Source organism: Homo sapiens, chromosome 8, assembly GCF_000001405.40.
Source record: "Homo sapiens chromosome 8, GRCh38.p14 Primary Assembly".
Taxonomy (NCBI): Eukaryota; Metazoa; Chordata; class Mammalia; order Primates; family Hominidae; genus Homo; species Homo sapiens.
In genome coordinates this window covers 124173832-124187208 of record NC_000008.11, presented here as the reverse complement: position 1 = coordinate 124187208, position 13377 = coordinate 124173832, and positions in this window count along the sequence as shown.

Genomic DNA, 13377 nt, shown 5'->3' with positions numbered 1-13377 from the left:
GGGTATTAGCTTCAAAGTTACTTTCCCTGAGAAGCTTTTCCAGATAGTGTGGTCTAGATCAGATCCCCCTATTGAATGCTTACTTTCTATTTTTAAAAATCTTTTTATTTTGACCCAATCTAAAACTTGTAGCAAAGTTGCAAGAATAATTAAATAATTCTTGTATATTCTTTATCCAGATTCCCCAGGTATTTGCATTTTTCTTCATTTGATTTCTCTTTCACTAGACACACATACACACAAACACAAACACACACATTATTTTATTTCTAAAATATTTGAAAGTTACAAACATGGTGTCCTTTTACCCCTACATGTTTTAGTATGTATTTTCTAAAAACAAGGATTATTCTCTTACAGAATCACAGTAAAATTATCAATTTATGAACATTATAATGGACAGAACACTATTATCTAATGTATAGCTCTTATTCGTATTCCTATCTGGTATCTATTTCTCTGTCTATCTTTTCACCAATTGTCCCAATACTCCCCTTTATAGAAAGAGTAAGTCCTGGATGATGTGTTGTATTCAGTTTCATGTCTCTTTGACCTCCTTTCATCTTGAATAGTTCTAGTTCTTCCTTTGTCATTAATGACATTGACATTTTTGAAGAGTATGAGTCATTTAGCATAATGCCCCTCAGTGTGACTTGAGTTTCTCAGATGATTAGATTCAGGTTATGGATTTTTGGCAGGAATATTATAAAAGTACATTGTGCTCATTTTAGTGAATGATTTCAGGAGGCACACAATGTTCGTCTCTCTCATTACTGAGGATGTTAACTTTGGTTAAGGTGATGTTATTTTCTTCACTATAAAGTTACTATTTTCCCCTTTATAATTAATTATTATCTCTTGACAGAGAGCCTTTGAGGCTATATAAATACCTTCTTAATTATTAAATTTTTCACCCACTAGTTTTAACATCCATATCAATGGATGCTTTAATCAATTATTATTATGATAGTTGCCAAGTGATGGTTTTCTATTTCCATCATTCCTTCTACATTTATTTGTTGGTGTTCTAATTTAAGAAAGAGAGTTTCCTTCTCCCATATTATCCATGTATCAGTATGGACTCATGGGTTCTTTTTTGTTTGTTTTTTTTTGTTTGTTTTGAGACGAAGTCTTGCTCTGTCACGGGGGCTGGGGTACAGTGGTGTGATCTCGGCTCACTGCAGCCTCCACCTCCTGGGTTCAAGAAATTCTCCTGCCTCAGCCTCCCGAGTAGCTGGGACTACAGGTACATGTCACCATGCCTGGCTAATTTTTGTATTTTTAGTAGAGATGAGTTTTCACCATGTTGGCCACGATGGTCTTGATCTCCTTACCTTGTGATCCGCCCGCCTCAGTGGATTGCAGGTGTGAGCCATCGTACCTGGCCAGGTTCTTACTTTATTGTATGGTTTAATAATTCACTACTATTGCTGTTTATTGTGATGCTCAAATTGTCCCAGAAATGGCCTGTAGTAGCCTCTTCAAGCTGTCTTCTATGTTCTTTTGACAAGTTTCCATCATTCTTCAAGGACTTCCTTACTTCCTGGCACACCAAGATGTTTTAGGCTGACATCAGCAGCATGATGGGAGCATCAGGACAGCCTTTCTCGAAACTCTTCATGGTCTTTGGTTCTCTCCCCTGTTTCCTCCATCCCTGCTCTGGGGAAAGATGTCCTAGGAATTTGAAGAGTGCACAAAATGAGGCTTAAGGTTCCTGACTCTTTGGCCAGTGATCTACCAGCCAGCAATCTGTGTCATCCAAGAGTCCCTGGATCCAGGGACATGTTGCTTCCCCACCTGTCCTCCCCTTGATACCTGGATTTTTAAAGGCATTGACTTGCCTCCACCTCAGATTTCTCTTCTCTGTGAGCATTCCCAGTTCCCAGACTTGGGCTGGGTATTGGTTTGATTTGAATTTAAGGAAAGTAATTGCCAAATTACTGAATAGTATATCTTTTGTGGCGATGGTTGTATTCTGAACAACAGAGTAAAGGCAATGTTTGGACTGTGGAATCCTGGCTCTGCCATTTTCTAGCTCTGTGTTTTTGGGCAAGATGTTTAACCTCCCTAAGTCTTAGTCTTCTCATTTGTAAAATGAGGATAGTAAACATCCATTTTGAAAAGACATTGTGAAGAAATATCCAATAATGCTTTGGAAAATAGTACCTGGTACCTGGTGTTATTAAATACTGGCTTCCCCTCTCTCCCAGTATCCCTTTATCAGATCTTGTTGAAGGACTCTGACTGGCCTTGCATGGGTCTATAAACTCATCTCTTAGCCTGGAGAATGCTGTATTCTGATTAGATGAGCCTGGATCATTTGTCTACCTCTTTGGGGATAGGGTGGGAATAGGGTGAAGTGTGCTTGGTTCCACCTGATCCACATGGAATGTACTCAAACAGGAAAGAAGGGGGAGGGGTGAAAGGTGAACAAACAGATGTCCATGCAGCTCTTAACCCTCACCTGTCCTTCTTGATGACCCCTCTGTTTCTGACTTATTCCTTCCCCCCATTTCCCACCATTATTAAAACTTCCAAGCTCAGCATTTCATTCAAATGGGTCTGATATCTGAATGTTCAATAAATATGCATTGATTGAATAAATAAGTAATGGCTTTTTTTCTTACTCCATCTGGGGAATTTTTAATCCCTGCAGGAAGCCTCCTTATAGGTCTGAAAGGACAAGTGAAGAAATCTAGAACTCGAAGAGCTATAGAGAGGGTCACCCAACAGGAGCCAAGGCCTTGGGTGGAGGAATGCAATCAACTTTAGGCAACCCTGTGGGGCCATGCTTTAGGGAATAAACACCCAACCTCATTCTTCTTCCACCTGCTAATCTCCTCTTGATGCCTCTCCCTGGCCAAACACAACCCGAAGCCAGAGGGCAAAGCAGCCTGCTAATGTAGTCCATCTGGGTCAGCTTCCTGGGGGCACAGAGCAGGTGGGAGAAGTAGCCAACAGATCTGAGGAGGAAACAAATTATCCAGTATACCCTTGTATCTTTAGCACCAAGGCATGGTGTTATCAGTGAACTGATTAATTCATTAATTTGCCTGATAATTCTTGAGCTTATGTGTTACCTCTTAGAAGCATTCCCTGATGTGCCCAGCCAGAGCTTTTCTCTCTTTGCTCATTACCCCTTTTTATTTTTTATTTTTCTATTTTTTTTTGAGACAGAGTTTCACTCTGTCACCCAGGCTGGAGTGCAGTGGTGCCATTTCAGCTCACTGCAACCTCTGCCTCCTGGGTTCAAGTGATTCTCCTGCCTCAGCCTCCCGAGTAGCTGGGACTACAGGCATGCGCCACCACGCCCAGCTCATTATTATTATTATTATTATTTTGTATTTTTAGTAGAGATGGGGTTTCGCCATGTTGGCCAGGCTGGTCTCAGACTCCTGACCTCAGGTAATCCGCCCACCTCGGTCTCCCAAAATGCTTGGATTATAGGCGTTAGCCACCACACCTGGCCTCATTTCCCCTTTTAAACACTTCCTGAGAGTTACCATAGGCATCTCTCACACATCTGTCTCCTCCCTGAGGCCCCTCTGAGCTCCCTAAAGCAGGGGCTTGTTTGAATTCATCTGAGCACCTCCAAAACTGAGCACAGGAGGCTGACTCAGAGCAGTGTTTAGAATGTGCTCTGAAAGTGAACAGCCATGTGGATGATTCATTGAATTGAGCTGATGCAAAAGACCTTGCCTGAGATGGTCCAGTTGTCAGCCCATAGAAGGGGGGTGGTGGAGCATGTTCTTTGCACAGTGGCTGCGTAGGTGTTAGGGCCTTATGCGAGACTGCAGGGGGACTGTGGGATTGAGGGATTGTGGCTGACTATGGCAGACAATTGAAGTATGACCCAGTCCTGGAGCCCCTTGCTGAGAGTTAGCAGACCACCGTTGTAGTTCTAGCTGCTACATGTGAGAGATAGTCCATCTTGGTAGTTAACAGGATGAGTATTGGAGTCAGGCTACCTGGTCTCAAATCCTGGCTGTGTGACCTCAGGCAAAATCCTTAACCCATCTACAAAATGGGGATGATAAGTTAACCTGGTAAAATTATTATAAGGACTAAGAGAGTTAATTCACATAAGGTTCTAGGGACAGCATTTAGCCTTTACTTGTAGATATATTCATTTACTTACTATAACTTCCAATTTACAGATGGGAAAGCCGAGGCACAGAGAGGTTAAATAAATCATCCATGTTCACACAGCCACTAAGTGGTAGGGCCAGAATTTAAGCACACACCATTTGGCCCTTAGTGACCTTCCTGAACCATTGCACCATTTGGCTTTGCTCCATGTGGGCAAGTCCTTAAAGAATATTATTATAGGACCTGGGAGCTGGAAGAAAGGAGAAGCTCAAAATGGAAAGTTCTATAATAATAAGTATAAGGATAATGGTGTTTTATAGATCAGCAAGATCTGATGGCAAGAACAAATTTCAATTCCCATTTTTCTAAGTGTCTTCTCCTTAAACAAGATAATGCAGATAAATCCATAATAATTAGCTCACTTTCCTTAGACTGGGTCCTGGAAATAAATAAACTAATGAAAAGGCCTTCATCTCTGATGTTACAACCTTGGGCAATGGACCGGTGAGGGTCAGGCACTAATTTTGATGTACAGGATGCGGTGGGAGGAAGAACTGTCTAAGACTTTGCTACCCAAATTCTGCTCCTTAGACCAGCAGTGAAGACTCACCTGGGAGCTTGTTGGAAATGCAGAATCGCTTTCCTCAACCCAGACCTATTGAATCTGAATCTGTATTCAACGTTGAAACAATTTTTAACAAAGCAATTCATATGCACATTAAAATTTGAAACACTATTACTGATGCTTGAGTCCTACATATCCCCACCCCACCCTCTCCCCCCAAGTCAGAAATTCTTAAGTAATTGGCCTGGGCATTAAGATTTTTCAAAACTCCCCATCTTCCAACATGGGGATTCCAAAATGCAGCAAAGTTTGAGAACCGCTGTTCTAAGGAGATGAGCCCTAGAGAAGGGAGCAGCTATAGCTGGCATACTGTCCTCCTGTTGAGACAGACTTCAGACTCTACCCAAGTGCTCTGATTTTAATTGCAGCTGCTCAGGACAGCCTAGTCCTAGTCCAGCAGGAGCCACAAAGTGCCTTCTGCCACTAGCCACAGCCATTTTACAAAATGCCTGGGCCACAAAGCTGCTTTGCCGTGAACCCTGGGCAGAAATTAAGAGTGGAAGGATGAGTATTATAACTTCCTTCTACTACTTCTATTATTCATTATGCCCAGTCAATGGGTCTAATTTTTATTTTTAAAAGCTTCCTTCCTATTGAGGAATTTGGCTGATTCATGGAGATATGTTTGGCAGCATTGAGATAAGTTTTGGGCTGGAATTTAGGAAACCACGAATTCTTCCAGAAAAGGTCAGAGGAAAAGTTACTTTCTGTTGTGAAATTAAATAATTCAAACCTAAAGCTGGCGGAACTTTAAATTATGTTGAGCCTTGAGAGCAATGCGGCCATGTGACCTGAGTCATATAGCATGCAGCTGCAACTTCTGGTTTTTCCTGTAAATGATTCGGAAGGACCGAATGGTGCCAGAGTTAAGACCTTTCCAGGCCATTACCCCTCCTTATGGAATGTTAAAGGAACCTTCCTTGGCATGCAACAAGCTGTAACCAATCAAATCACTGTAACATGTACTGACCTTGCATGGAAAATGTTGTAACCCTATTACACTTCTCTGTCTCTGCCTTATAAGTGAAACCTTAACTTCTCCACTTTGGAGCACTGACCCCATTCCTTTGGAGTCTATGTTTCCCAAGTGGCTATCCTCAAGCTTTGTGCTGAAATAAACTCAATACTTCATCATATTTTCTGAATTTCATTATTTGAGGGTGACACTTCAATAACACATTAGTGGCGAAAATTTTCTTCACTTCTTTTTTTTGAGGTAGGTTTGATTATGAATTGAACATGGAAATTGGACCTAAGAGAGAGAGAGAGACAGGCCTCACTGAGTGGAGTTAAAGAGCATATAAGTCTACAAAGCCGAGAGATTCAGGGACCAGCCACATATTTGCCACTGAATACATCTGAAAACAGCCAACCTACGTGCTTACTCTGTGCTAACCTTCATTCTAAGGGCTGTGCAAGGATGACTTAATCCTCATAATAGCCCTATAATGTGGAAACTGTTGTCATACCCACTTTACAGAGATTATCATCAAGGCTTAGAAGAGTTACGTGACTTGCTCAGGGTTGCTCGGCTTGTAACTGCTGGAGCTGGCCTTCCAAATCAGGCCTCCCAACGGACTCCCAAGCCCGCTGCCTCTGATATACCACACTTTCTACTGAGAAGTAGCATGCTGGAATTCTAAGAAGGTGTCATTTTAGTTCTGAAACAACGGAGGAAGAATTTTACAAAGAGGCCAGATGGAAAGAGAGTTGGATAAAGGAATAATATGAAAGCACTCTTCAGTCTGGGCAACATTTGGAAGAGGTTACACTGCAACTTAATTTAGGCGAGTCTTTTTCTGGGGACAAGGAAATGTCCTTGTGGTCAACTCAGTAGAATTTCATTTTAACAGAGCCAGTGGATTCTCAGGTTTCTGAGAACAAGCACGCCACTGCTTTTTGTCATTAGCATGTAACTGCTGTTCAAGTCAAACTGGTATTTAGTGACTATGAAGTAGCAAAGGAAATCTGAGACGAAAATGCAAACAAATCTGCTTGCATGCTGCGGTCACCGTCTTTTGCAAGTTTATTCAACCAGTGTTCATTGAGTGGGTGCCTTGTGCCACATCCTGTGCTTCACAGATTACAGTAGCCCACTTATCCTTGAGGAGTGGGCATAGTACCCCAGTCTAGAGATGGGAGCACTGAGGTTCAATGAAGATCTGAAATAGGTCTCAGGCTGACTCCAGAGCTTGTCCTCTTTACTGTATATCCTCTTGACGTTATAGTCCAAGGGATCTCCCTTTATAGTCCAAAGGAATCTTTCTTGGCATGTAACAAGCACAATCTTAAACTTCTTAAGCTTCAGATGTACCTGGGGTGTTGATTAACAGGCAGATTCCTGGGCCCTACTTCAAGTGAATCTGATTCTAGAAGTCTGGAGTTGGAGCCCCAGAAACTGCATGTTCAATCCTAACCCCCAATTTAGTGGTCTGAAGACTGAACTTAGTGAGTGCTATGTCAGTACTTCTCCCAGCCCCAGTCCCTGCCATAAGAAATTCACAGCTCAATCAGAGGAGGCAGACACACAATGGATTATTACAACACAAACGTGTAATCTCTAAAAAGAGGATAGGTCCTAGGATGTTCAGGCATCTGTTGTCCAGGTAGAAAGAAACAGCTGTTGGTGGGAGCAAGGCATGGCACGAAGGGGAGCAGAGCTACAGCCCTTTCCCCAGAACGCCTGTGACAGCAGACACTCCCTTTATAAACTCAGGCTTCATGCCCTTGCAGCTAGCACCACCCCACCCAAACACCACACACACACACACACACACACACACACACACACACACACACACACACAGACACACACACAGACACACACACACACACACACACACACTCTGCACCTCTCATTAATAATCAAGTCCCGTTGGCCAGAGCTTCCAAACGCTCTGAAATCTATGCATTTTTCTCGTCCTCACTGGTATTACTGTAGTGCAATCCACCACCACTCCCCTCTACCATGCAATAGCCTTCTAAAGGCACCCATCCTTGCTCCCCTCTAATTATTTTCTACAGTATCCAGGGTGATCTTTTGAAAATGTAAATCAGATTTACACATCACCCCCACCCCCATTTTAAGCTTCTCTATAGACTAAAGCCCAGATCATTATGTGTCTTGGTCTGCAAGCCTTTTCCCCATCTGGTGCTGCTTGCTGGGCAACTGCGAGGCTCACCTCCCTTATCCCTAGCACTCCATGGTCCTCATGCAAAGCCATGTGCAATTCTTCAAACCTGTTCTTTCTGCCTAGCTTTTCCATAGACTGCTCCCTCTGCCTGGAATGCCCTCCCCACCTCCGTCTGGGTAACGCTCAGAGTGCAGGGCTCTGCTCAGATGCTACTTCAGGAAGCCTTGTGACCCCTCGTACCATGTGAATTGAGTGCCCCTTGTCTGTCTCTCACAGTCCTGCCCATTTCTTCTCCGTGCACTCTGCACCCAGCACCCTGTATTTTGACTGCTTATTGCTCTCTCTTCTCCACTGGACTATAAACCCCATGAGGATAAGGGCTCACTTATCTTGACCTCCCTGTGTGTCTGAGTCATGCACAGTGCTGTGCTCAGGATGGGCTCGTGCCATATTGTTTGGGTGAAGGAATGGACAGTGGTGGGTGATGAGTGTCATCAGTCCTGGTAATTTGGTCTCAAAGACCCTTCCAGCCTTGTTCCCAAGGGCCCCTTACTATTTACTTTCATCTTGGACCTGGAGGACTTGATTCCATTGGTCCAGAAATGAACATTTTTGACAAGTTCTGTCACTTGATGCTAATGTAGGTGATTGCTGAATCTTTTCTTTTCTATTTTTGAGATGGATTCTCTCTCTGTTGCCCAGCCTGGAGTGCAGTGGCATGATATCGGCTCACTGCAACCTCCGCCTCCTGGGTTCAAGCGATTCTCCTTCCTCAGCCTGCCAAGTAGCTGAGACTACAGGCGTGCACCACCATGCCCAACTAATTTTTGTATTTTTAGTAGAGATGGGGTTTCACCATGTTGGCCAGGGGCTGGTCTCAAACTCCTGACCTCAGGTGATCCTCCTGCCTCGGCCTCCCAAAGTGCTGGGATTATAGGCGTGAACCACTGCCCCCAGTCCCTGAATCTTACTTGGAGAAATTCTGCTGGGTCATTTTCAGGCAGGGCTGAGGGGTGCGGGGACTCTCTGAGGGGTGGGGGGACTCTCTGAGGGGTGGGGGGACTCTCTGAGGGGTGGGGCTTGTCTTCTCTCTGTAAGGGGGACAAATGTCTTACCATGGGGGTAGAAGAAAAGAGCATAAAAGAGGGCAGAGCCAGTTCCTGTGGGCCTGTCCTATTTAACAACAACATAATGACAGCTAATATTATAGGATGCACGTTATGCACTAGGCCTCACACTAAGTGCTGTTTGTGGATTATCTCATTTGATCTTTCCAACCACCTGCTGAGTTGAGTACTATTATTCCCATTCTACACACATTGAAACTGACAATTAGAAATTGTAAGTTAAGCTGCCAGTGACCGGCAGATCTTAAATTCGGTCACTCCATGACTTTTCCTAGAATGTAGGGATGCAAGGTGCAGTGATTTCGGACTAGAAATGGATCTAAGGAAAATAAAGTTTCAGTTGGAAGTGAAAAGGAGAAAAAAGGTGGGATGAGAAGAAAAGAACTAAGAGGTAGAATTCCAAGCTCATTAACAGCTGGTCCTTCTGATGTTCCCAGCTGTAAGATGCCATTACTACATGGTAAGCCCTGGAAATCAAATTAGTGTGTCTCAGCCCAACCAGCCTAAGACCATCAGGGACAACCACGTAGTCTGACAGAATCAAATTTATTGACACATTGTAATGAGGGAGATCACACACCACAGAATCACGGAGAGTCTCACCAAACAAAGGAAGACGGAGTTATCATAGGAATTGGGGAAAGTATGGAGGTCAGGGAGAGCTGAAATGAAGCAGAGTTTTTATAAGCACAAAACAAATCAAGGCTGTGTATAAAGGGACCATCAGTTCTGAACAGCAAAGTGGAGGCAGGCTGCTGTTTCCCTGGAAACTACCAAGTGAAGGTAGACATGAAATGTGTCTAGAAACTCCTTATCTGAAACTCTGTAATGGAGTTGGAAATCGATGCTGCTTTTTTGTGTCAAAGTGACTTGGATTCTCCAGGCCAGAGTGGGCTATCTCATTCTTACTGAAATGATTTCAGATGGTGATGTTTCTAATAGTCTATGATTTTAGAGCACAAAGTCCCTCAGTGAGTAAGAAGTAACAGTCACAGAGAAGGGTTTGCTATGACATGTTGTGGCTCCTGGGGAGAAATATTGTCTCCTATCCACGCAGCTGTTGAATGTATTTGTGCCGGCATTCTTCTCTGTCTTATCTTTTTCTGTTGTCTTAATTGCCTTATTCTGCCTAATCCGTGTTTAGTCTGATGAATGGCTAGGCAGAATTTTTAAATTTATATTTAATTTTTAACATGTATCTTTTTATTCCCACAAATCTCATTTTAAAATCGACAAATAAAAATTATACATATTTATGGTGTACAACATGTTTCAAAATATGTACACATTGTGGAATGGCTAAATTGAACTAATTAGCACATGCATTAACCCCATACCATTTATTTGTGACAAGGACACTTAAAATCTACTTTCTTCACAATTTTCAAGTATGAAATACATTGTTCTTAACTATAGTCACCATACTGTACGATAGATCTCTTAAACTTTTCCTCCTGTGTAACTGAAACTTTTGTATTCTTTGACCAAATCTCTGCAATCCCTTAGGCAGATTTTTACTTTCTCATTCTTGGCTAATTTTTATTTTCTTCGGGCTCACATGTGTATTGGTTTCCTGTAGCTGTTGTAACAAAGTACCACCAACTGGGTGGCTTAAAATAGTAGAAAGACACTGTCTCATGGTTCTAGAGGCCAGAAGACCAGCATCAAGGTGTTGGTAGGGTTGGTTCCCTGTGGGAGAGTCTTCTATCTATTCTCTCTTTCAGTTTCTAGTGGCAGCTGCCAGTCCTTGATGTTCCTTTTCTTGTAGATGCTTCACTCCAATCTCTGCCTCTATCTTTGCGTGGTGTTCTCCCAGTGTCTGTCTTCACATGAGGTCTTCTTTCAAGGACACCAGTCTTATTCAATTAATTAGGGGCTCACACTACTCCAGGATGACCTTATTTCAATTTAGCTAATTACATTGCAAATACTTTATTTCCAAATAAGGTCACATTCTGAGTCCTGAAGGTTAGGACCTCAACATAAGCTTTTTGGAGGGACACAATTTAACTTTTAACAATGAGGAACAAAACACATTTGTTTCTAGGCCAGGGCCTAATGAGAATTAGTGCCTTGTCGCTACTCAAGTGTGGTCCACAGACAGGCAGCTTCTCCTCACCTGGGAGTGTACTAGAAATGCAGAATCTGGGATCCTGCTCCAGTCCAATGCATCAGAACCTATATTTCGACATTATCCCCATGTGATTTGTCTGCACATTAAAGTATGCAAAATAGAGTTAGTGCAGAAGCTTATTGCCCAATAGCAGCCCTGGGGACACTGCCAGTTTAAAATCTATTGGTTATTAGGAATTAAGATCCTGAAAGAAACCACCCCAGCCAGATGTGGTGGTGCATGCCTGTAGTTCCAGCTATTCAGGAGGAAGAGGTGGGAGAATTGGCTTGAACCCAAGAGTTCAGCCTGAGCCATATAGCAAGATCCCATCTCTAAAACAAACCAAAACAAAAACAACTCTTTGAAGAAACCAGCAACTGTAACAGTGGGACACAGCTAAAGAGGAGAGATTGGATTTGGGTTGTAGGTCTGCTGAGGCCTTAGGGAGGGCTGATGGGGAAGGAAGAGGAGGGAGCAGAACTGGGGCTGCTGGAATTACCCCAGCTGTTTCCAAACAGTGCAGACGTCACATAAGCACTGTAGGCCTCACTTTCCTCATCTGTAAAGTGGGCTAATACCTCCTATCCCAGTGACTGGTGTGAGAATTAAGTGTGAAATGGCAAGGGTAAATGCAAAATGAATAGCAGTTGAAGACACACAGATTGGGTCCAGCCTGAAAGAGGCAGCTGGGAAGGGGAGGCAGCTCATTCTGTCATGTCTTCATTCATTCCACATTTAGTACCTCCTCTGTGCCTGACGCTATAGTAACAGGAGTAAGTCCTCCTGTGACTCATGGTTATATGGAGGAGAAAATGAGCAAGTTTCTGAGCACTAACAATGGAAGCTGACTCAGGAACTTCTCACAGTGTGGCCCATGGGTATCAGATGGGGCACTCTGGGCCCCAGCTTGCAACAGGCAGGCTAATTCCAGGCTTTACTGCATGGTTTTACGCTCCTCTGCCTCCTTTCTTCTCATCAGTTTGGTTCCAAAAAAATGGTGGATGTGAGTCTGTAGCTGTCAGATTTAGGTGAGTCTAGCCAGTTAAAAACAACAAGGCCCAGCACTTGAGAGGCCGAGGCGGGTGGATCATGAGGTCAGGAGATTGAGACCATCCTGGCTAACATGGTGAAATCCCATCTCTACTAAAAATACAAAAAAGAAAAATTAGCCAGGCGTAGTGGCGGGCACCTGTAATCCCAGCTACTCAGGAGGCTGAGGCAGAAGAATGGTGTGAACCCGGGAGATGGAGCTTGCAGTGGGCCAAGATCACGCCACTGCACTCCAGCCTGGGCGATAGAGCTAGACTCCGTCTCAAAAAACAAACAAACAAACAAACAAACAACAACAACAAAAAAAAAAACAAGGCAGCTTCCATTCTGGAGAACGTAATGGATAGATTGTCTCATTTAAGTTTCCAGGCAAAACTTTGAGGGGTAGTAGGGGTATACCAAACTGATGTCAGCAAACCTAGCAAACCTAGGTCTGAATGCAGGATGACTTGGATAAGCTGCTTAACTCTGAGTTTCCTAATTATTTTTATTTTTATTTATTTATTTATTTTTGAGACAGAGTCTCAATCTGTCACCCAGGCTGGAGTGCAGTGGCGTGATCTCGGCTCACTACAATCTCCACCTCCCAGGTTCAAGAGATTCTCCTGCCTCAGCCTCCTGAGTAGCTGGGATTACAGGCCCCCACCACCACATCTGGCTAATTTTTGTATTTTTAGTAGAGATGGGGCTTTCACCATGTTGCCCAGGCTGGTCTCAAACTGCTGACCTCAAGTGATCTACCTGCCTCTGCCTCCTAAAGTGCTAGGATTACAGGTAAGAGCCACGGCACCTGGCCTCCTCCTTATTTTTAAGTGGGATAATAATGGTACCTACCACACAGTGCCTGGCACATGTTGATAATGTTAGTCTTTTGTAGAATTGAATCTTTCAAGTGTCAGTGGCAAGTGGACCTCCTGCTGCCTTTCCCTCTAGGAGACACTAGGTGCTACCCTGACTCTGAAAGAGACACCCTCTGCTCCCCACAAGTTCTCAGATGCCGGGTAGGCTTCCCAGAGCCCCTACAATGATTTAGCATAGGCTTTACTGAATTGTAGAAGAGAAAGAAGAAATTCGACATTCTATTTCCGAGTAATGAGCAAATTGCCATTTCTTAACGTTATTTCTAAGCCATTATGAAGAATTCAACAATCAGCGCTAATGAAGAGAAATAAATACCACATGGGAAGAACCCTGGGCACCAGCTTCAAACTTGTTCTGAATTTGGGCTCTGGGAATAAT